The 24,600-nt window shown below is 44.7% G+C and overlaps 1 long non-coding RNA gene and 2 pseudogenes across 1 annotated transcript in view, besides 6 other annotated features; 2 read left to right on the top strand and 1 right to left on the bottom strand.

The window, feature by feature from the left end:
• Positions 1-5,999, top strand: part of REL-DT (REL divergent transcript) — a 33,555-nt gene extending 27,556 nt beyond the window's left edge. The window contains exon 3 of the long non-coding RNA NR_033980.1: positions 4,525-5,999. This is a non-coding gene — a long non-coding RNA (REL divergent transcript). The remainder of the gene's footprint in view (positions 1-4,524) is intronic.
• RPL21P33 (ribosomal protein L21 pseudogene 33) lies at positions 974-1,539 on the bottom strand (annotated as a pseudogene).
• Positions 9,293-9,512: an enhancer, noted in NCBI's record as "active region_15823". NCBI's record gives its function as "activates an Ori minimal core promoter by ATAC-STARR-seq in GM12878 lymphoblastoid cells {active_cell/tissue: GM12878}" and the evidence as "EXISTENCE:reporter gene assay evidence [ECO:0000049][PMID:35858748]".
• Positions 12,271-12,690: an enhancer, noted in NCBI's record as "active region_15822". NCBI's record gives its function as "activates an Ori minimal core promoter by ATAC-STARR-seq in GM12878 lymphoblastoid cells {active_cell/tissue: GM12878}" and the evidence as "EXISTENCE:reporter gene assay evidence [ECO:0000049][PMID:35858748]".
• Positions 19,161-19,280: an enhancer, noted in NCBI's record as "active region_15821". NCBI's record gives its function as "activates an Ori minimal core promoter by ATAC-STARR-seq in GM12878 lymphoblastoid cells {active_cell/tissue: GM12878}" and the evidence as "EXISTENCE:reporter gene assay evidence [ECO:0000049][PMID:35858748]".
• Positions 19,391-19,440: an enhancer, noted in NCBI's record as "active region_15820". NCBI's record gives its function as "activates an Ori minimal core promoter by ATAC-STARR-seq in GM12878 lymphoblastoid cells {active_cell/tissue: GM12878}" and the evidence as "EXISTENCE:reporter gene assay evidence [ECO:0000049][PMID:35858748]".
• Positions 19,471-19,530: an enhancer, noted in NCBI's record as "active region_15819". NCBI's record gives its function as "activates an Ori minimal core promoter by ATAC-STARR-seq in GM12878 lymphoblastoid cells {active_cell/tissue: GM12878}" and the evidence as "EXISTENCE:reporter gene assay evidence [ECO:0000049][PMID:35858748]".
• RN7SL632P (RNA, 7SL, cytoplasmic 632, pseudogene) lies at positions 21,830-22,095 on the top strand (annotated as a pseudogene).
• Positions 22,485-22,714: a silencer, noted in NCBI's record as "fragment chr2:61058180-61058409 (GRCh37/hg19 assembly coordinates)". NCBI's record gives its function as "represses an EF-1alpha promoter that drives an FKBP-Casp9 reporter gene in an ReSE screen in K562 erythroleukemia cells {active_cell/tissue: K562}" and the evidence as "EXISTENCE:reporter gene assay evidence [ECO:0000049][PMID:32094911]".

Raw genomic sequence — 24,600 nt, 5'->3', positions numbered from 1 at the left:
GGGCAGTAATATGAGGAACAAAACCAATTCCTTGGACTTAGCCACATGGAACCACTGGTGACTTTACAGAAGGGTGGAAAGGGGAACTGAGGTTTAAGGTAGTCACTGGAAGGAGACAGGGTGTCCAGGGGGAGGCTAGAACTTGTTTGAACACTGACACAGAAGGACAGCCACATGTACTGTGGAGGCTATGGTGGGGGCTATAGCCCAGGCCCCACACTCCTGGCCAGGCACCTTGGGTACAGGCTCTGTCAGTCTATCTGGAGGACCTTCCCTAATTTGCACAAAAATCCTTCGTGAGCTAACACCTGCCCTGGATAGGAAAGATCTCCCAGCTTGAGTCCTGAGATACCTCCAAACCCCAATTAGGGCAGCAGCGACAAAGGCACTTCTTCATTTAGAGTTTGCCTGCAATTTTGTTAGGACCTAATTATGTTAGCACCCATTGATCAAGTATTTAAATTCTAATCTGATAAAACATCTAAACTCTCCCTTAGTGACAACTCCTTAGTTTCCTAGGAACCACACTTTAGATTAACAAGGAGGGGACTGCAAAGGCAACGGGGCAACTCTGACTCTCAGGATGGGAGAGCATCTCCCTGGACCAATTGCTGCCGTCTCTCCTGTCTTGATCCTCAGAGCCCATATTCCCTAAGAGCTGGTCTTCAGGCATGGTTTTTAGAACCATGGATTTGACTCTTATTTACAATATCTTACCTTTTTCAATTAAATAACTTCCAACTATGATATCATAGAAACATTACTACCACCAGAGACATCTTAATAATAAGCTGCCCCTGCTAATACCACACGCGTACAATTTCCCACACAACTTATCATATGTTCACATTTCTAGAAAACCAAAATAAATGGGATTGGAAAAAACTGTTTAGCAATTTTGGTCAGGGTGCATTTATTTATTTATTTATTTGTTGTTGTTGTTTTCTTTTTTTCTTCCCTTTTTTTTTTTAACAGTCCAGAGGTCTTTTAATTTTTTTTTACACCGATTACACCATGAATTCATCATAGGGAAGAGAGTCCAGCAGCTCAGGCTGTTTCCTGTTGGCTCTCACACAGTGCACTTCTCCGGGTGAAGCAGGCTGGCACCTCAGTTGAACCCAAGTGCCTTCCTCATTGGCTTCCTTCTTTTTCTGATCATTTTCCGTCACATGTTTCAGGAAGCTATGGCGGCTGTGCTTAATAATGCTATGGTGGCTGTGCTCAATAAATACCCACATTAATTCTCTTGGCAAGAATCTTGCCCTCAACTTGTTTGTTTACAACAATGCCAACAGCATGCTGTGGAACACTGTAGACTCTTCCAGTCTCTCCGTGATAACATTTGTGGGACATTCCTTTTTGAACAGTACACATTCCCTTATGTCTACAATATCACCTTTCTCGCAGATTGGCATATATGTGGCCAAAGGAACAACTCCATGTTTTCTAAAAGGCCTAGAGAACACGGGTTGCGTGCCTCACCTCTTTGTGTTTGTCATTTTGGGAAATTACTGGAAGATGCCAGTTCTGGCTGAAAGGGTCATTTAGTTCATATTAAGATTTAAATCTGGCTGGGTGCGGTGGCTCACACCTGTAACTCCAGCACTTTGGCAAGTTGAGGCAGGAGGATCCCTTAAGCTCAGGGTTCAAGACCAACCTGGGCAACAAAGTGAGACCTTGTCTCTAAATACAAAAAGAAGAAAAAGATATAAATGTGTTATTAAAGGGGAAAATTAGGATCGATGCTAAAAGTTTATTTTAAATTGGCCTCAGGATAATTTAGATATATAAATTATTTTTTAATACACACACACATGCACACACACGCACACACACTCCTATGAAACAACCAGAGTTCCTTTATTTTATTTTATTTTTTAGTTTTTTTTTTTTTTTGCCTTAGATCCAGGGACAGACTGGATGACAGCCAGATTTGAAATGTCTGCACTTTGGGTGCTATAATTAGGAGTCAATCAACTATTTTATGTTAATAAAAATCTACCCATGTTTCTGGTATGCCAAGGTAATAGAAATGACAAAACAAAATGATTTATTATCAGGAAATGACTGAAGGAGATAACTGCAATATAAAAGATAAAGAATGATAATTACTGTTATACATGTGGTAGCCAGAAACTTAGACCGTTTTCTGGGGAAAAAAATTAGTACAGGCACATTATCCACTGTAGGACATTTATGACAAACTCTTTTTTAGGAGGTTAAAATATGATACTGGAATGTAATAGGCTTCAAAATAACATAATAATAAAACATGTTAGGGACTTATTTACAGATGAAAATGACTTCTAATGGGATTTTGGCACTTCCTTTCTACAGGGTCCAAGGTGGGGTGATCTATGCAAAAGTCCATTCTAGGCTTAACAAGGCCTTCTAGAAGTTTTAACATATTCTAGTCTTCCTGCAAGGCCTAGGAGGGAACCAGCTATATCCTGTCCTGGAGATGGAGGATGCACGACCACTTTGAAGAGACATAACAGATCTATGTAGAGGAATGGTTCCTGGGTTCAGACAGGGCTATTGCACGCAGGAGTGAAGAGAGAGGGGTCAGGATGGCCCCCTGTGTGTACAAAATTGTTGCCAATGGGGATGTGGGGTGGGCATTGGGGAATGAAAATGAAAGGAAATAAATACATAAATAAAACAAAAGTGACCTTTTACCACCCAAATATATAATAAGGATGATGATGATGTGCCATGAACTGGGGAGTAGGATTAATGGTTCAATTAAAAATGCATACATCAGCTGGGCACCGTGGCTCATGCCTGTAATCCCAGCACTTTGGAGGCTGAGGCAGGCAGATCACCTGAGGTTAGGAGTTCGAGACCAGTCTAGCCAACATGGTGAAATCCTGTCTCTACTAAAAATACAAAAATTAGCCAGGTGTGGTGGCAGGCGCCTGTAATCCCAGCTACTTGGGAGGCTGAGGCATGAGAATCACTTGAACCTAGGAGGCAGAAGTTTCAGTGAGCCGAGATCGCACCACTGCATTCCAGCCTGGGAGATAGAGTGAGACTCTGTCTCAAAACAAACAAACAAACAAAAAATGCATCACACATACATGAATAAAATATACCCAAAGAGAGCAAGGTTTGTTATCAAGTAGGTTTGTTTTCAGTGCCTTTTTACTTTCCACTCACCTCCTTTCACATTCCTGCTTTCCTAGCTTTTCTTTCCCCAATCTTGGGATGGCCCCCTGGCTGCCCAGGGACTCCTCACTGTGAGCTCCTCCCCAGGGAGCATCCCATGCTGTCCACACATTCTCCTTTCTCTCTTCCTTGGTATCTTTCTGTCCTCTGCTTCATTCATTAGAACTGGCAAGAGGGCCCTTGCCCTGAGTCCTGCACTTTAGAGGGGCCTGCTCCTGCCATGCCCCTCTCCATGGGGTGAAGAGTCCTTAGGACCAAGGGGACTCCTCCCCAGCCTGGAGCCCATGCTCTCCTTCAAGATCACAGTTTGGGAACCTGAGAACTCAAAGAGCCCCAGCTCTCCTGCAGGCCTGTTCCCAGTATCGGTGGTCTCAAGGGCAGACTACGTTCGTGGTGTGTGCATCCCAAAGCCCAGAGTACCCAAGGGGCAGCTGGACAGAGCTTGAAAGTGCAGGCAGGGGTGCCCACATACCTATACGGGAGGCCCCTGTGGTGTGGGAGGGATCCAGGGTGGGAGGAGAAGGGAGGCTGGACATGAGCTGGGGCTAGGGGCTGGCTGGCCCTTCATGTGCCACCACTTCTGGCAGAGAAGTCTAAGTAGAGTCTGAGAATTCTGAAGTTGAACCCAGCCTTCCAAATTGTCATCAGGGTAGGAAGATGGAACATATTTCATCAGTTTGTTGGCTTGATTATAACTTTTAAATATTTAGACACACATGGTGTAGACCTCTTTTGGAACTGGCAGGTGTAAAGGATTGTCTTGGATTGAACCCTCTGCCTTCCACAAGGACATCTGGGGCTTTGAAAGGTGGCCCCTGGAAACATGGGGTCTTTACCCAAGGAAGGGCTATCCTGATCAGAGCACGGTAAATACTGTGGCAAGGGGTTGGTGCAACAGAGTCTTTGGTCTCCCTCTGATCACACTAGGTAAGTGGCTGCCTCATCTGTCTTTGATGGCTGGTCCCAGCTGGAGGATGGGTTGGCCATTCAGTGATCACTACTGTATATAAATGAGCAAAGCAAACTGCCCCCTGTCTACCAGGCACTGGGGCTGTCAGCATCTCCTCCACCCTCTCCCACCTTTAACTTACACAGGCTGAAAATAGCTTTTTAATTTTTTTCTTAGGACATGCCACTGGATAGTGTTGGTTTTTTTTTTTTTTTTTTTTTTTTTTTTTTGAGATAGAGTCTTGCTTAGTCACCCAGACTGGAGTGCAGTGTTGCAATCTCAGCTAAGTGCAGCCTCTGCCTCCTGGGTTCAAGTGATTCTCCTGCCTCAACCTCCTGAATAGCTGGGATTACAGGCGTGAGCCACCACACCCTGCTAATTTTTTTTTTTCGTATTTTTTTTAGTAGAGATGGGGTTTCACCATGTTTCCAAGGCTGGTCTCGAACTCCTGGGACCTCAAGTGATCCGCCCACCTCGGGCTCCCGAAGTGCTGGGATTATAGGCATGAACCACCGTGCCTGACCAGGATGATGGGAATTTTTAATGGGAAGGCTGTGACACAACCTAAAAGAGGCACCATTAGTGAGGCAAGCAGGCAGAAGTCTTTGGATAGGAGGAGCAATGAACCTGGGAGAGAGCATCGAGCAGGGGCACATGTGGAGAACCTGCTTCGGAACCTATTAGAGGCAGAAAAGACCCTGGGCAAGTCCAGTTCCCATGGATCAGGCATTCCTTGGATTGTCCGCCCTGCATTTGTCTTCTCTCTTTCCCTTTTCCTTGCAGTACCCCGAGGCTCCCACTCCTGTTCCCGGAACCAAGCTAGGTCCGGCTGCATTTTCTGGAGGCTCAATAACAAGAAGCAGACAAACTAGGAAAGAAGGGAATTGACTACTATAGCCGGATACAGGGAGAAGGCCGGAGATAATTCCACCAGACCAACTCAAAAGTGTTAAAATTTTCTTAGTGCAGTCTAGCATTCGCCTAAGTCTATTGGTAACTAATTTTGTTTCAACTAGAAGGTCAGAGGCAAAAAAAAGAAATGCTAAGTCCGATTAAAAGGGCCCCAGTACCTTCAAGGCCTGTCTATGGTGGTACGGAGTGATTATTTCTATCTTATCTCTTTTACAGCTTGGTCTGGAGAGCTGCCTTAGACTTCCCAATGAATTTATTAAAACAGCTGCCTCTGTAACCTTGACTTGTCTCAGATTTTGTCGACCTGAGATGGGTCCTGGCACTAGGAATGTAAAACTGTCTCTATTATTTTGGTTTGCTCCAGCAAGGGAGAAGCCCATGCAAGGCTCCTACTGACTGTATGTTTCATTTCTAGCTTGGATGTCTCAGCACCGATTTCTCTAGGTTTAACTATTTGCTCAATGTTCAGGCAGCACTGTGGAAATCTGTCTGTGTAACGGGTGCTACGCAGGCCTGTCTGTGCGACTGTCATGCAGGCCTGTCTGTGCGATTGTCAGGGAGAATTGGCCTGCCACACTCCCACTCATTTCTGCATTCTCATTAAGGCATATTAAGGATTAGAAAGGGATTGCTAGGCCAGGCCTGGCTAGTCTTCCTTAAATGGAACTTTCAGAAGGAAAGGGGAAAACCAAAACAATTTCCCCCTTCAACTTTTTAACTGTGTTTCTCTTGGGCCAAAGACCTCTTAGGGATTTCCCCCGGGAGCTCTTTTTGCGAAGGATGTTTTGTTTTTCCTTTGTGAATAGGGACTAATTCATTCATTAAAGCAACATCTACTGAGCTTGTATTACAGGTAAGCACTGCTCCAGGTGCTGGGGAAAACGGAGTGAACTGAAATCACAAAAACCCTGCAGCGCTCATGCCATGTACGTTCTATTGAGGAAAACAAGCAATAAACAAGATTAATAATAACAGCAAGCGTGTGTGCACACGTGTGTGCGAGTGTGTTCGGTGGTGAGAAGTGCTAGGGAAAAAATAAAGGAGAGTGGCCAGGGAAAGCAGCACTGAGAAGGTGACAGTTAAAGACCTGGGCCAGGCACAGTGGCTCACACCTGTAATCCCACCACTTTGTGAGGCCGAGGTGGGCAGATCACCTGAGGTCAGGAGTTCGAGACCAGCCTGGCCAACATGGCGAAACCCCGTCTCTACTAAAAATACAAAAATTAGCCGGGCGTGGTAGCAGGAGCCTGTAATCCCAGCTACTCGGGAGGCTGAGGCAGGAGAATCCGTGGTAGCAGGAGCTTGTAATCCCAGTTACTCCGGAGGCTGAGGCAGGAGAATCACTTGAACCCGAGAGGCAGAGGTTGCAGTGGGCAGAGATCGCGCTACTCAGCCTAGGTGACGAAGCAAGACTCTGTCTCAAAAACAAACAAACAAACAAAAAAAGGGAGGAGGAGGGAAGAGGCATGAGAACATCAGGAGGTGAAGCGTTCCCAGCACAAAGAACAAGTGCAAAGGCCAGAGGCAGGAGCAAGCCTGGCAAGGTTAGGGATCCGTCCGCAGGCCAGCGCGGCTGAATTGAGAACAGGGTGAGCATGAGAAAGAGTAGAAGGTGATGTCAGAAAGGTGTAGGTGGGTGGGTGGGGGTCATGGAGGGCTTTTCTTAGGACTTGGATCTACTCTGAACCAGATGGGAAGCCACTGTATAATCTAAGCAGTGCAGGGACAAGATCTGAGTTACATTTTAACAAGACCACTCTGGCTGCTGGATTGAGAATAAACTGTGAAGGACAAGGGTGAGACCAGTTAGGAGACTATGGCAGTAATCCAGGGAAGAGAAGAAAGTATCTTAGACCAGGGCAGTAGTAATTGAGACAGTGAGAAGTTGTGAGATTCTGGAAATATTTTGAAAATAGAGTTACTCGGGAGACTGAGGCAGGAGAATCGCTTGGACCCGGGAGACGGAGAATAAACTGTGAAGGACAAGGGTGAGACCAGTTAGGAGACTACTGCAGTAATCCAGGGAATTTGACTTGAGCAACCAAAAAAAGGGAATTGCCATGAACTGAAAGAGATGACTTAACGGGTCCAGGTTTGGGGAAGATCAGGTATTCAGTTACGGGAGTTGACATCCCTGTGAGATGTCCTAGTGGAAAGGCCAAGTAACTAGTCAGTTTGGAATTCAGTGGAGAGGTCAGGGCCTGGAGATAAATTTTGGGAGTCCGGAATTAATAAATGGCATTTAAAGCCAAAAGATGATGGCTGGGTGCCGTGGCTCACACCTGTAATTCCAACACTTTGGGAGGCTGAGGCGAGTGGATCATTTGATGCCAGGAGTTCGAGACTAACCTGGCCAACCTGGCAAAACCCCGTCTCTACTACAAATACAAAAATTAGCCAGGCATGGTGGCGCACACCTGTGGTCCCAGCTACTTGGGAGGCTGAGGCATTAGAATCACTTGAACCAGGAAGGCGGAGGTTGCAGTGAGCCAAGAACGCATCACTGCACTCCAGCCTGGGCGACAGCAAGACTCTGTCTCAAAAATAAAGTAAAATAAAATAAAGCCAAAAGATGATGAGATTTTTGAGAAAATGATGGTAGATGGAAAAGAGAAGTCCAAGGCATGAACCCTGAAACAGTCTAGTGTTTATGATTACGAAGAAGAGGAAAACAAGCAAAAAAGACAGGAGGGCCAGCCAGTGAGACAGGAGGAAAATAAGGAGAGTGTGTTGTGTGTCCTGGAAGCCAAGCAAAGATGAATCAAAAAGGGAGCAATTGACCATGCCCAGTGCTGCTGATGGAGCAAGTAAGATGAGGACTGGGGAATCCACTATTGCATTTAGGAAAGTCAAAGTCATTGGTGACCTTGAGAAGAGCTGTGCCAATGGAGTGGAGAGGGTGAAAGTCTCATAGAAAAGGTTAAAAAATGAAGAAACATTGGGAGGCCTAGGCAGGCAGATCACCTGAGGTCGGGGGTTCAAGACCTGCCTGACCAACATGTAGAAACCCCGTCCCTACTCAAAATACAAAATTAGCCAGGTGTGGTGGCACATGCCTGTAATACCAGCCCCTCAGGAAGCTGAGGCAGGAGAATCGCTTGAACCCGGGAGGCGGAGGTTGCGGTGAGCCAAGATGGCACCATTGCACTCCAGCCTGGCCGACAGAGCGAACCTCTGTCTCCGTAAACAAACAAACAAAGCAAACAAACAAAGCAAACAAACAAACAAAGCAAAGCAAACAAACAAAGAATTTGAGTCAGTGACCACAGACAACTCTTTGAAGGACATTAGTTGTAAGTGGAAGAGAGAAATGGAAGTAGAGGAGGAAGAAGAGTTGGGAGAGTTTTTTTAAAGATAGGAGAAGCTGGGTGTGGTGGCTCACTCCTATAATCCCAGCACTTTAGGAGGCTGAGGTGGGCAGATCCCTTGAGCCCAGGAGTCTGAGACCAGCTTGGGAAACATGATGAAACCCCATCTCTACAAAAAATACAAAAATTAGCCAGGTGTGGTGGTGCATGTCTGTGGTCCCACCTATTCAGGAGGCTGAGGTGGGAGGATCGCCTGAGCCTGGGAGGTCGAGGTGGCAGTGAGCCATGATTGCATCGCTGCATTCCAGCCTGGGTGACAGAGCAAGACCCTGTCTCAAAAAAAAAAAAAAATAGGAGAAATAATTGCCTTTTAAATTTATGGAAAAGATCCAATAGAGAGGAAAAAACAGGATTCAGTAGAGAGGGAAAAATTGAAGATGTAGAGGACTCATGGGCTGTTTCTGGTAGTATTAAGAATATCAGGCTGGGCGCAGTGGTGCACATCTGTAACACCAGCACCTTGAGAAGCTGGGGTGGGAGGATGGCCTTAGCCCAGGACTTCAGACCAGCCCGGGCAACACAGTGAGACCCCATCTCTACATAAATAAGTAAATAAAATTTAAAAATTAGCTGGGCTTGGTGGTACATGTCTGTAATCCCAGCAACTCAGGAGGCTGAAGCAGTAGGATTGCTTGAGCCCAGGAGTTTGAGGTTACAGTAAGCTATGATAGCACCACTGCACTCCAGCCTGGGTAACAGAGCAAGACACTGTCTAAAAATAAAAATTAAAAAATCTACATTGTATTAAATGCTTACTATATGTTTGTTTTTATAGATAATATTCTCTTCTTAGAACCTAAAGTATGTATATTATTATTCCTATTTTACTAATGAGGAAATCGAGACTCGAAGAAATTGAACCCTTTGTCTAAGGTCACCCGGTGAGGACAGGGAAGAGCTGGGGGTCAGAGCCTAGCTGGTCTGAGGGACACTCAGGCCAAATTGCTCCTGAAGGCACCCTTCACTTTTCTGGTTGTGTAGAGTCCCAGGCACAGAAGGGACACATTTCCTGTTCTTCATTCCTGTCTGAAGGGAGGGTCTCTGTGTTTCTCACAACCAAGGCCTGAGACTTTGGTGGCAGGGAAAGTCTGAGTCATTTATTCTGCTTTCTTTTTTTTCTTAAACTCTGGTACAGAAACTCTCAAACAACTGAGAAGGTGCCTCGACATCTGATTTGCCCCAAACCTCTATACACTGGACATCTTCTGAATAAGGCTGTGTTGTATGTTGGGACAAGCAAAGGGATGGAAATCAAGAATTCTGGGTTTTAGTCCTGACTGTCACTACATGGCTGTGTTACTTCTGGTAAGTCAATTAACTTTGCGTTGTGTCCTCATTAGCAAAAAGGGAACACAAATGTCTGTACTGTTTTCTTCCTGGATAGTTGTGAAGACATCATAGTCTATGCCCTGTATCCCTAGCACTCCAGCACACGTGAGACCATATGCCATTTGCAAAGCATGTGATATATGATGGCATTGGTGGTTCTTCTCCTCATGCACAGCAGAATCACCCAGGGAGCTTTTACGTATACTGTTTTCTTGCTAGAATGTGGAGCAACTAGAATTCACAAACATTGCGGAGCAACTAGAATTCACAAACATTGCTAATGGGAGTATAAATTGGTAGAATCACTTTGAAAAGCAGTTTGGCAGCATCTACTAAAATTGAACCAAATCCTACCCTGCAATCCAGCAATTCTGCTCCTCAGTTTATACCCAGATAAAAGTGTGCGCACATGCACTGGAAGGCACATACAAGGATGTTTGCAGCAGCATTATTTGTAATTGCTCAAACTAGAAACAACTCAAATGCCCAGCAGAACAGACAAATTGTGATATACCCAGTTATGCAAATATAAAAAAATGTATGCTTTGTGATAATTCACTGAGTTGCACACATGACTTGTGCACTTTTTTGGCTATTTATATATTACTTCAACTAGAAAACAAAACTGGCTGGGCACGATGGCTCATGCCTGTAATCCCAGCACTTTAGGAGGCTGAGGCACAAGGATTGCTTGAGCCTAGGAGTTTAAGGCTGCAGTAAGCCATGACTGAACCACTGCACCCCAACCCTGGGCAATGGAGCAAGACCCTGTCTCAAAAACAAAACACACACAGAAAAAAAACAAAAAGCAAAACTGCTGCTTAGTTTCCCACCCCAGACCAATTAAATTAGAAGCCTGCGGGTGGGGCCCGGGACAGGTGTTTTCAGGAGTGCAGCCAGGGGTGAGAACACTGCCCTCTCCTTTGTTGGTGCCATTCCGTCCCAGGGGGAAGATCGAGGACTGTGTCTGGGTGCTGCTGAAAGTGCCTCTAGGTGGTGGGGGGACAGGGCTGTCTTCGGGAGGGAAGGAAGGCAACAGGAATGGCCCACACCTCCACACCTCTGAAAGTGAGGACAGGCTTCTCCCCTGAGGTAGTGAATGAAGACTACCACCAGCCTTCAGGGGCTGCTCCTGACCGTCCTCCCTTAAGCAATTCCTGAATTTAATTTCAGGCTTACTATTCAGAACAGTTGCAGCTTTTCGGTATTTTTATTTGCCTGGTCCTTTGTGGAGGTTTTGTCTCTTCATTTGTATTTTTGTGTTTTACTGTAGTGGCCTAGTTTAAATTCTTTTCTGTCTTCCTTTTAATACTATAATCTCTTAGCCTACAAATTAAACAACCACATCCAATTGTGCCATCATCTGCCAGGTGGTGTGGGCTGGTTTTCTAACTCTTGTCCTACATGTGAGGGACAAATTCTGAATGCATGCCACTCTTAGTCTTCGCTATTCGCGACTATTCTCAATTAAGAAAAGGCTTATAAACGTGGAGACCCTTTAGTATCTCCTGACTTTATTCTGATTTCTTTTTTCTATGGATCTCCTCTGTGGAGATATTCTGGTTTCATAAATGAAAAACATTTATGGGTCAAGCTATGTAGCTTGATAAAAGATCCTACTACAATTTTAACAAATCAGGGGTTTTACCAAAATAATACCACTAGACCTCAACTTAAATAGCATTTTAACAAGACTGTGGCCTCTTTAACATTTGTTAAAATAGCTAGATATAGATTTTTAAAGTTATTTTTATTACATAATATTGAAGATATTATCAAAAGAAATAAACTTTGTTATAATTCTAAACTCATAGCAAAAATTATATAGATTTTGTGTATTATATAGATTATATAAGGACCTTGAAATAATGCACAAATGTCTTTCTAGATGCAAACACATTCTTCATATGACCATTATAATTTCTGAAAGAAAATCTGTATACATACATATGTATTATGTGGGAAAAAAAAGCCATCTACTGTGGCTATCATCGGATTATGAATGATTTCACATGTTTTCACTTTTTTTTTTTTTTTTTTTTTTTTTTGAGGTGGAATCTCACTCTCGTCCAGGCTGGAGTACAGTGGTGCCATCTCGGCTCACTGCAACCTCTGCGTCCTGGGTTCAATCAATTCTCCTGCCTCAGCCTCCTGAGTAGCTGGGATTACAGGCACATGCCACCATGTCCGTCTACTTTTTGTATTTTTAGTAGAGGTGGAGTTGCACCATGTTGGCCAGGCTGGTCTCAAGCTCCTGACCTCAGGTGATCCACCTCCCAAAGTGCTGGGATTACAGGCATGAGCCACCGCGCCCGGCCTGTTTTCACTTTTGTTTGTATTTTTTTGCTTCAGTAAAAAAGAGTTGAGAATAAGTAGAAAATAAGAAATATAGGCATCCTTCTGTATGTTGCAATGAAGGTCTTAATAGCAAAGAAACTGGCTTCTGGGACCAGCAGTATCAGCATCACCTGGGAACTTGTTAGAAATGCAAATTCTTGAGCCCACCCCAGACCTGCTAAATTAGAAACTCTGGGGGTAGGTCCAGCAATCTGCTTTAAGGAAACCTCAAGGTGACTCTGATGCATACTAAATTTGAAGACCACTGTTCTAAAGGATAGCACAAAACCAATTTGGCAAATGCTTAAGAGAGATCCAGTCTGGGAATAGATGTTTTGTTTTGTTCAATTTGGTCTCTGCCCCTTCCCTTCCTCAGCCAACCCGATTCATCTTGCTGCAATCAAACCTGTACCAGTGTTTCTCAACCCTGGCTGGGGAGCTCTTAAAAATGCCTGTGCCCAGGTGTCTCTCCAGGCCAATCTAATCACACCCTCTGTGGATGGGTCCCGGGCATCCAGGTGCTCCTGCTGTGCGCCAGGCTTGACAAATTCTGTTCTATATTCAGGTACTTTTGCGGTTGAAACAGATGATTGTTAACACCTGCCCTCAACTTCTTTCATTTATTTCCTGCAGACTCTGTGAAGCAGAACTCGGGCCTCTAGCGTCTGCTAGTCTAGATCTAAAGGTGTTTCCTGAGGGACAGTTTGGCCTGGCATGCAGGTACCTCTGCAGACCACAACAGTGCACCGAAAACACCCCCTCCCAGCACGCACACAAGTCTGGCTCCTCAGCCAAACATCAAACACCAACACTGCTGCCCATGCCAGATGCCAAGTGAGATAATGTGTGTTATACCCTTAGTGTGTTACAAAGAGAAAAGATTAATAAATGTTAGCTATCCTTATCTTCATTATCTAAATAAGGCATGTGGATCTCTTTTCATTTAAACTCACAAAATACCTGCTTAGAAGGCCTATCATGGTTGTTTCATCTTGAATTTTGTAACCATCAACTTTCATGTGAAGCCAGTGAGGGACCACTCACAGTCATGAGGGATGTTCTAAGCCAGCAGTTCTTAAAATGTGTATCACACGGGATCTTGTTAGAAATGTAAACTCTGGGCCCGGCACGGTGGCTCACGCCTGTAATCCCAGCACTTTGGGAGGCCGAGGCAGGCGGATCACGAGGTCAGGAGATTGAGACCATCCTGGCTAACACAGTGAAACCCCGTCTCTACTAAAAATACAAAAAATCAGCTGGGCGTGGTGGGCACCTGTAGTCCCAGCTACTCGGGAGGCTGAGGCAGGAGAATGGCGTGAACCCGGAAGGCGGAGCTTGCAGTGAGCCGAGATCACGCCACTGCACTCCAGCCTGGGTGACAGAGCAAGACTCCGTCTCAAAAAAAAGAAAAGAAAAGAAATGCAAACTCCGCTAGGCCTGGCGGCTTGTGCCTGTAATCCCAGTGCTTTAGGAGGCTAAGGTGGGAGAATTCTTCAGCTCAGGAGTTCAAGACCAGCCTGGGGAACATAGTGAGACCGCCCCCCACTGCCCCCACTCCACCACTTCCCTGCTCATAAATGAATGAGTAAAAAGAAATGCAAATTCTTTATTTTATTTATTGTTTTTGAGACAGGGTCTCACTCTGTTGCCCAGGCTGGAGTGCAGTAGCTCCATCTCGGCTCACTGCAGCCTCCATCTCCTGGGTTCAAGTGATTCTCCTGCCTCAGCCTCCCGAGTAGCTGGGATTACAGGCACCTGCCACCATGCCCAGCTGATTTTTGTATTTTTAGTAGAGGTGGGGTTTCACCATGTTGGCCAGGCTGATCTGGAACTCGTGGCCTCAAGCCATCCACCCGCCTCAGCCTCCCAAAGTGCTGGGACTACAGGTATGAGCCACCATGCCCAGCCAAGAAATGCAAATTCTTGAGGCCTACCTCAGTACTACTATATCAAAAACCCTGGAGGTGGTGCCCAGCCACCCATTTTCACAAGGCCCCCTGTGTTTCTGATGCATGCTCAGGTTTAAGAACTGCTGCTCTAAGCCTTCAGCCTCTCGAGCTTGTTGGAAATGCATGACCTCAGGCCCCACCCCAGATGACTGATTTAGAATCCCCAGGTCATTCAGATGCACATTAGAGCTTGAAAAGCACTGCTCTCGACTGTCCCCCACGGTCAGATTAGAATTAGAGCACCAGAAAGGGGTACTCTTAGATCAAAGCTTCTCGGCACCCCACAGAAATGCTGTCACAAGACAACAATTTAGGTGTAAGAAATCAACACATGAAAGACATTTCTGTATCTGTGAAAAAGAATTTTACTGCCATTCACCATCCCTGGATAAAGATTCTGTCAGCTTTCTTAGAGTTTAGAGCAAGCACGTGTGTCCTTTTTTAGAAAAGAAGGTGAAGTTATGAAACTCATGATACCTAAATTGCCAGGACACTTTCATTTTAGCTCAATTCTTTTTTTATTTTTTGAGATGGAGTCTCGCTCTATTGCCCAGGTTGGAGTGTAGTGGCGTGGTCTCGGCTCACTGCAACCTCCGCCTCCTGGGTTCAAGTGATTCTCCTGCCTCAGCTTCCCGAGTAGCTGGGATTACAGGTGCCCGCCACCATGCCTGGCTAATTTTTGTATTTTTAGTAGAGACAGGGTTTCACCATGTTGGCCAGGCTGGTTTTGAACTTCTGACCTCAAGTGATCTGCCTGCCTCGGCCTCCCAAAGTGCTAGGATTACAGACATGAGCTACGGCGCCCAGCATTTTAGCTCAATTCTAAGAAATATTCTTAGTCTAGGTTTTCTCATATAGCTCTCTCTTCTCTTGCTTAAAGTGATCTTTGCTTTCCATTCTTGTTTTAACAATCTATTATGGCTGCATTTTTTAAATAAGTAGCTTCAAATATTGTGTGAGAACATAAGGAGAAATATCTTTTCCTCACCCATCGCTAGGTTTACAGTGGAGAAAGCTCTATAACAAAAGACAGATTAACAAGAGAAAAACATGCAAATTTATTTGGTATGTTTTATGTGACACAGGGGCCTTTTAAGCAAATGAATACCCAAAGAAACAGACTTGTGTATTATTGCTGGCTTTGATGAAGAGTGGACGGTCATGGAGAAATATAACAGGACAAAGGGGATATGATCTAATGATAATAAACTGCAGGGAGCTTAGCAACATACGTTTGTTCAAATTCTTCTTTGTGTTCCTATGTCTTCAGAGATAAGAATGTTCCTTTCTTCTGACCGGGCACGGCACGGTGGCTCACTCTTGTAATCCCAGAACTTTGGGAGGCTGAGGTGGGCAAATCGCTTGAGCCCTGGAGTTCGAGACCAGCCTAGACAACATGGTGAAACCCTGTCTCTACTAAAAATACAAAAATTAGCCAGGCTTGGTGGCACATGCCTGTAATCCCAGCTACTTGAGAGGCTGAGGCAGGAAAATCACTTGAACCCAGGAGGCAGAGGTTGCAGTGAGCTGAGATCGCGCCACTGCACTCCAGCCTGGGTGACAGAGTGAGACTCTGTCTCAAAAAAAAAAAAAAAAAAAAGAAAAGAAAAAAGACTGTTCCTTTCTTCTGGATATAGGGAGGGCACCTCTTGAATAAAAGTCTTATGATCTGCTTCAGGGCAGAAGGGCAGGGAAGGGTCAGAGAGACCTTCCAGTAAATGGCTTCTCAAATTCCTTCAGCTTGAAATACTCAGTGTGCCAAGGTGCTGTATTTTGGGGATACCATGTCCTGAACCACATCAGGGCTACTAAGAAATGAATGTCTGTGCTATGTCTTGAAGCATCTCTGCCTGGATAGAGCACAGTGACCCCAAGAGCTCCATTCAGATTCCCTTTGCTCCATGAAGTGTTCCTGCTGTTCCCTGGACAGCTGTAATTAATATGGCCCCAGATAACACAGTTTGTGATTTATCATTATACATCACACTCTGCCTTATATTTTGAGGTATGTTTGTAAAGTGCTTAGGGTAGTGTAGGAACATACTACACACTCAAATGATGATGATGGCCATTATTATTGCTGTTGTTTATGTATATATATGTGTCATTCCTACTCAACTGTAAGCCTTGTTGGGGTGAGGAGAGGACCTTATTTACTGATGGATTCCCAAGCGAGCCTGGTTTATGCTGCACTCATAACAGTTTCTTACATATAACATTAATGAGAATAAATATTAGAGTACTTTGAAAAGGAAGACATGATTTATTATCATGAATTGGAGCATTGGGTCTCAGCTAATCCTATCCAAAAGAAGCTGTTTGACCAACAAGAGCACCACATCCCCTAGCCTCAGCCCCAGAGGGCAGCAGAAAAAAAAAGGAAGTGAAGGATAAATGTCACCGAAATTCTCAGTGAAACAGAAGAAACTCTGACCAAAACCAAAATGGAACCCACTGAAAATGTTAATGGTCATTTTTAGTAAGTCACAAGAAGGTTAAGAAATGCTATTTTAATAAGTAGAACAATTTCATTTTCCATATAGCCTTGGAAATTGAGATCTAGATGGTTTCTTTTACCTAGTCTCACATCAACTTTGCACCTCTTTAGCTGAAAGCAATATGGTTTCGCCTTCATAACTTGTGGAAAAAAAGAAGCAAAAGGGATAATATCTTAAGTAATTGTTTACAAGAGAAAAGCACGTTGGAAGTGAATGTTATATGTAGGATTATCCAACATAGTATTCTGGGAGGAAAAAGTTCAGACAGGAGAAGAAAATTGAGCAAAGAATAAGTTTGCATGATGTATAGAAGCAGGTTCATGGAGAAACCAATAAAGTCTGAGCCCCAGCTTCTTCCAACACCCCAAGAGGGGCCCTAGCGATTTTGTGTTTACAATTATGCATTAGTGTTCATGAAAAGGGCTTCCTAAGGTGCATACGTTTCAGGCTCTATAAAACTTGAACCACTCCTGATGAAATGCCTGTAAATTTGTGTAGCTCTTGTTTCTCAGCTTTACCTTTTTGCAATCATTTAGCTCTGCCTTGCTAAATGAAGTGATGCAACAACTGGGGACTTGGCCATAAGGAAGAAGGTCCTTGGAGAACTGCTATTTGGGGAGATTATCACAGCTGAGTTCAAAGTAGTAAAATGTGGACACTAGTATGGTTTTCATCAAGGATTATCATTGTACTTCTAGGGTAGTGATTCCCAACCAGGGGCAAATTCTACCCCCAGCGGGGAGGGCTGCTACTGGCATCTAGTGGGTAGAGGCCAAGGATACTGCTAAACATCTTATAATCCACAGGGCAACCTCCACAGCAAAGAATTATCTGGCACCATATCTGGTTAGTGCTGAGGTTTAGAAACTGTTCTAGGGTGCTCCTTTTACTACAAGTCAATTGACAATCCAAGTTGTCAAAATGAATGACCAGCAGCGTAAGGTAACATCTCAAAGGCATTCTGTCTCAAAGGCATTTGTTGGGTCTGTCATAAACCATTGTTCATCATATATCTGGCTCTTCCTTCTGTACACACACATAGGAAGGTTGTTAGGGCAGTGACTTGAACGAAAACTGGTGGAAACCTGTCTGATGCTAACGGCTGCGAAACAGGGAGTCCTAGAATTACAGGCACCGGAGTGGTGCTTTGTTGTGCAAACCCTGATCAAAAGATCAGCCTCCCTAAAACTAGAGTTTAGACACTTCCTTCACGGATGTGAATGTCCACACAATGTTAATGGAAATGTCAATCCCTCTCCCCAGCTGCTGAGATCCCACTCCCAGGCTGCTGAACCCTACCAGTTAAAGTCCCAGAGTTACCAATGGACTGCCCCAAATTCCTGCCCTTGGACCTTTGCTGGTCCTTTACCACCTCATGGCCTTCCTTCTAGTCCCCTTCTGACTATCTCTGTAATAGTCCCATGGCGGCTCATTTCCCCAAAGCCCCTAAACCATCCTTTCCCTGTTACCCTTCTGTGGATGCCTACACCTCCTGCTTCCCTGAGATGAGTTACAGTAGTAATCACAGCTGCTACCATGTATGCAGCAGCCATAAGCACTAGGCTGGCGCCATAACTACACTTCATCTGCGAGGCGAGTATCAATAACCTTGTCTTGCAGATGATGAATCCCGGGTTTAAAGAGGCAACTTCCTCCAAGTCACAATGCAGGCACTTGGTCCTCCAAGTCACAATGCAGGCACTTGGTCCCAGGACTGCCTGGCTCCAGTAGGAACTCCCTATGCTTACTTCTCTCCTCTCCCCAGAAAAATCTGTTTTTATATTGATCCCTGGATTTATTTTTTCTTTCTTTCTTTCTTTCTTTCTTTCTTTCTTTCTTTCTTTCTTTCTTTCTTTCTTTCTTTCTTTCTTTCTTTCTTTCTTTTTCTTCTTCTTTTTGAGATGGAGTCTTGCTTTGTGGCCCAGCTGGAGTGCAGTGGAGCAATCTCAGCTCACTGCAACCTCTGCCTCCCAGGTTTAAGTGATTCTCCTGCCTCAGCCTCCTGAGTAGCTGGGATTACAGGCATGCACCACCACGCCTGGCTCATTGTTTTTTTGTATTTTTAGTACAGTTGGGGTTTTGCCATGTGGGCCAGGCTGGTCTCGAACTCCTGACCTCAGGTGATCTGCCCACCTCGGCCTCCCAAAGTGCTGGGATTATAGGCGTGAGCAACCGTGCCCGGCCAATCCCTGGATTTTAGATGAGGAAAAGTTCTTTCAAACCAAAGTTGACTCCTCCATCTTGATCTTGTTCTGCTGTCTCCCACTGTCCTTCACTCTGTCTTTTATCTATCACAGCCTCCTAGCTCCTCTCTAGCGGCTCCTTCCTTTACAAATGCACCCCCGACCCTGCTTCACGAGCAAAGTCCTGCCTCATCTGCTTCCTTTGCTTCACTGTCAACTTGTCAAAGGTAAGAGGGTCTCAGTTTGGCCACTCGTCTGCTCCCTCATTCATTTCCTGTCCTGTCCATGAACAAAGTCTTGCTCTCTTCCCTGGCCCCGTGCCTCAGGATGGTGATTTGTCTGTGTACCCTTGGGACCCTCTGCTCTCTCTGGATGGAGACCATGTCTACCTCCCACCCTTTTGTTTCTCAGTGCCTGGGACAGTGCCCTGAAGAGTGTGCGTGATGGGGATGACCTCACATTCAGACCAAGGCAAAAACCAGATAAACCCCTCCCTCCCAGGGGGCCAGGGAGATGGCTGAAGCAGGGCTCCTAGGGAAATTCCTTCGGGCTGGAGCTCTATTCAACAGAATGACAACACACTATTGACATATTTAGAGCAGTGATTACCTCATGGAAATACCCTATTTTCACCAGGGACTGAGATCCAAGCTTCATATCTAAATGTCATGTATCTCTTCACTATAACTGAGGCTCTGAGAAAACAGAAACACATGACTACATACTAGGGGATTCAATTCCTGTTTTTCCTTCCTGTTTGTCCTCTTCTAAAATAAAAAAAAGAAACTTCTTGGTATTGTTATCCTGAGGGTATATTACTCCTACATATGTGGAGATAAAGTTAAATGAAACAAGTAGTTTCTGAGCTGTTGGCAGTAAAGGCCATCCATTTTTAAAAGGAAATTAAGTAACATCTAAATCTATATTTGATGGCAAAGATCCCTGCTCTGGGTAATTCCATTCTCATACCCTCTCCACTGAAATGTCTGTAGGAATTTCCATAAGTTGGTATTAGGCTTCTGTCTAACCTTCATCCATCTATCTACTGGTTCATTCCTTAATTCAATAAATCTTTATCCAACCTGTATGCTCAGTCATTGGACAAGAGAGAAGAAAGACACTGTGCCTGTTCTCAAAGAGCGAAGTCTAACGTGGCACCTACAATTCAGGGTGACAGGTGCTGGATAAGAGAAATGTAGGGTGTGGCAGGAACATCCACATAGACGCTGACCCCAGACTTGGGGGCAGCCAGTCAGGGACAGTTTCTAGGAGAAAGTAACATCTAAGGTAAACTCTAAAAGCGGTAGGTGAAGGTGGAAGGGGTCAGGTTGCGAGGAGAGGCTGACCAAACAAGAGAGAATAACGTTTAGAAGGCCCAGGTCAAGGGAGAGAGAAACAGAGACAGAAAGACAGAAGAGAGTTTTAAGGGACCAACAAGTTAATGCTTACTGGATCAGAGAAGAGGAGATGAATGGAGAAAGATTCAGGCACATGAAGTGGGTGCCATTATCATCCCCACATCGCAGATGTGGAACTGAGGCACTGAGAGGTTAAGTAACTTGCCCAAGGTCATCCAGCTAGTACGTAGCAGATCCTGACTAAGCCTAGTATCTGTGCCCTTCACTGCTGCCTTTGAGATCATTTTCTTTTCTTTTTTTGGAGACCGGGTCTCGCTCTGTTGCCTAGGCTGGAGTGCAGTGTTGTGATCGCAGTTCACTGCAGGCTTGATGAGATAATTTTCAAAATTCCCTCCCAGCTATGGTTTGGAGGCTCCAGGAGAAAAGAGTAGATTGAGGCAGTAATTTTATATTCAGTGGGAAGTCTAAGGGGGAATGTCAGCCCCAGAAAACCTGTCCTCCTCTGCCTGCTGCCCTCCATAAGTCAGATTAAGGCAAAAGTACTGCTATTCTGGGGGGATTTTCATTTCAATCGGGTAGGGCCCAGCACGTTTTCAGCACCCTAACTAGCAGGGGAGATTGAGGGAGACATTTTGGGATAGGGGTCCAGCCTGTGTCCCTTCAAGGGGATAAATATGAGGGACCACATCATCATATAATCAGAGGCATCTTTTTGCCTAGAAAGGTTGGTATGAATCACTAAGCTCTTAATTTTCTGTCAGAGAATGACTTAGGCTCTTGAAAGTTACACATTAGAAGGTTTTTTTCCCCCTTATAATTACGAATGGCATAAGTGAGAATTACTCAAGTTGACTCAAGGAGTAAATTGTTTTATTCAAAGGAGCTGAGTTTTGTTTCATTCAGTGACTGATTTTGAGCTTCATAGCCCTTAAGGGGGAAGACAAATAGGCTTTAATGCCATACATTTTGCAAGGGAAGACTTCAAAGTGGTGAAGTGTGTGAACAGTTCACCCAAGGGTGGGACATGGAGAGCAGACTTCTCACGACCAGATAATTTCTCATGGGCAATTACCCACCAGTGAGATTAACCCTTTACCCAATGAGAAATTGAACATTTGTTCACAATTAATACTCCCTAGAATAAAAATTCTTCAGTTTGAGAAGTGTCACCCCCAAATGCTCACTTTTCTTGTTTCATTCCAGTTGCCTAGTTCCTTCTCAAGGGATAGACTAATCCCTTAGCTGCTGAGACCAGCTTGAGTTGAAAGGCCCATCTCCAAGACCGCCTATGGTGATATGGATGAGGACTTTTCCATGTTTATTTTCAACACTGGTGGAGTTGATGGTCTGGAGAGTATGTGTGCACATACATATAATATAAAATATTATACATATTATATATACACAAACATATATTATGTGTGTGTATATATATAAATATATATGAAACTGGATATATGTCATGAGTTGGATTGGAAAAGGAGCTTTGGAAAAGCTGATGACCAATGACTATGAGCATGAACATATTGGTTTGGTTAAGGCAGAAAGAGTGTGTGTGTTTTGTATCCTTGTTTATACCAGTACCTAGGGAACTCAAAGTCACATGGAAATTGGATATGGTTTATCAGTTAGCTCTGTCTACTCAAACCATTCCTCCCACCAAAAAATGGACAGCCCTTTTACTACTATTTAAAACTCTTTCTTCCACTTGGCCAGATCTGATTTTGTAATTCCTTTCAGGCAAGTGGATAGAAAGCTTGGTGAAAACTTCTGCTTGTTGAATTATTGTATAAATCATTAGTTGATTCATCACTATGAAAATTCAGGAATGCCGGCTATAATGTGCTATGCTGATCAGGTGTCTGCTCTGCTCTGATTTTGGCATCAATGTGGTGACCTCCCAGGAGCAGGGGACCACTGGGTTGCCTAAGGAGGGGTAAACCAGCCCAGGTTGGAAATGGAGCAGGTCAAAACTCCCGAGCTGATCAGTAGCAGCATCGCACCTGTGAATAGTCACTGCCCTCCAGCATGGGCAACATAGTAAGACCCTGTCTCTAAAAGAAAAAAAAGAAAGAGAGAAAAGAAAAATCAGGAATGTCATTTATATAGTGATTAACCCGTTTTTTCATTGGGACATAGGCTGACATATGTGCCCTTTAGATCCATACTGTGGTCAGAAAATTAGCAGTTAGCAATAAGCCTTTATCCTTGTTTATTTCTCTGTTGCCATTGAGTTTTCTTGTCACAGTAGTGAGAAAATAGATGGCATGGCACTTCTGGCTTGGAAGTCATTGAGAGAGTGATTGAATGGAAGAGGAGAAGGGAAGTGAACGACTAACAAACTCAACTCTACCAAACCAGTGTCTTCATGAGTGCTGGAACAATAAGCATGCCATGGTGGTTCTCATTCCACAACCATTTATTCATTCAGACAAATAGAGCTTACTATGAGCACACACTAGGAAGACACAAGGTCTGACCTCGAGAGCTCACGCTAGGACTTGCCCAAAAGTGGGCCCATCAAAGGTGCTGAAAAGAACAGACGTGCATTTGCAATCAGCAGGCTGCCTCCCCTTTTCACAAGGCACAATGGATTGAGTTATCTTCCACATTCCTCAGTCCTGAACTTACCTGTATTAGTAAAGTTGAGAGGGACAGGCTCAGAATGATTTAGACAAAAGAGGAGATTGATTGGAAGGCATGTAACAGAAAGTTCAACAACCAAATCACAGGAAGGGCAGGGCATCAGGAATGAGGGAACCAGCGAATCCCTCCCTCCCTCACCCCTGCTCTCCATTCCACACTCCTCTCTGGCCAACTCACTTCCTTCTCTCTCTGTGGAGAGGGGCTCTCCCCACAATGGTGGTGCCCCAGCCTCACATCTTCCAGACTTTATCCTTTTCCTTCTTTGTCTCTTTAGTAGGCTCAGCCCCCTACCTGCCCATCAAATGCTGGAGTTCCTCCAGGCTGCATCCTAAGCCCTCTTACTCCCTCCCTGAGATCTTGCTCATGTGAGGTCAATCACCACCTCTACCTAAAGGATTCTCAAATGTATTCTCCAACACAGGCCTTTCTCCAAGCTCTAGGCCTGTGTATCCAAATGCCTTCCTGATATCTACTCTTGGGTATCTCAAAGGCATCTGAAACTTTCCCCTTCTTTCTTGGTAACAGAATCCCCATGTTGTTGGAAGTGGCAATGAACTCAGTGAAAACACGACATTTCCCAGCATCTCTTGCAGCCAGAGGTAGACAATGAGATGTAAATGGAAGTAATTAGATTGAGTTCCTGCAAAAGTCCTTCACAAAAGGCTGATTCAGCTGGATGTTTTGCCATTTTCATCCTTATGCCTTCCTCCTTCTGCCTGGCATGTGGACATAATAGCTAGTGCTACAGTGGTCATCTTGAGACTATGAGAACTTGAAGATGGAAACTAGCACCCAAAATGGCAGAGAGAATCGTAGAAGGATTTTGGGATAAAGGTACCTATTTCCTAGCTTTAGACAACTTTTAGGTGAGAAATTATAAATTTCTATCTTATTGAAGTCCCCTCTATTTATAACTAGAAGCCAAACACAATTCCTAACAGATATAACAGCCTCCTCCTACCCTTCCAGCCTTATCTGGAACCTGGCCCCCCTGCACCCTTCTCCCTCTCTCGTCACACTGCCCTCTTGCTCTCCCTGCACTTGCCATGCCCTCTCCTGCCACTCAGTCTTCTCACATGCCATTCCCACTACCTAGATCTCAGCTCCGTCATCGTTTCCTTGGGGAAACCATCCTTGACCTACTTCCCCAGGTAGTTCCCCCACCACAGGTTCTCAAAGTGCCACCAGCCTCTCTTTTTTTGCATCTGTCTTCAGTGTAATTTTATATTTATTTGCATCAGCTTTGGACTCACACATATCCCTCTCACTAGATTGTAAGCTCTGGGGAGGCAGGGACTTTGACTTTTCCTTTTCTTACTACTGTATTTTTATACCTAAGCACGGTATTATAATAAGTGTTCACCCCAAAAGAGAAAAATGTTGAATACATTAATGCACCACAAAGGAATTACTCAGACCTCTCTGGTCTATGTTTTTAAAATCCTGGGGAAGAATTCTGAATGGCCTAGCTAGGACCAAGTTTCCACCTCAGGACTGTGGCCAAGAGCAGGCTCTATAAGAATGTGGCTGGCCGGGTGCAGTGGCTCACACCTGTAATCCCAGCACCTTGGGAGGCCAAGGCAGGATGATCCCTTGAGCCTGGGAGTTTGAGACCAGCCTGGACACCAAGCCAGACCCAGCCTCTAAATAAAAATAGAAAATAAAATTAGCCCAATGTGGTGGCATGTGCCTGTTTTCCCAGCTACTTGGGAGGCTGAGGTGGGAGGATGGCTTGAACCCAGGAGTTTGAGACTGCATTGAGACAATGATTGCACCACTGTACTCCAGCCTAGGTGACAGAGCAGATCCTGTCAAAAAAAAAAAAAAAAAAGAAAAGAAAGAAGAAAGAAAGAAAGAATGAACGTGGCAGCCCCCATTCAAACCACATGTCCAGAATAGGGAA

This window comes from Homo sapiens, chromosome 2, assembly GCF_000001405.40.
Source record: "Homo sapiens chromosome 2, GRCh38.p14 Primary Assembly".
Taxonomy (NCBI): Eukaryota; Metazoa; Chordata; class Mammalia; order Primates; family Hominidae; genus Homo; species Homo sapiens.
This window is presented reverse-complemented; position numbering and strand designations above follow the sequence as displayed.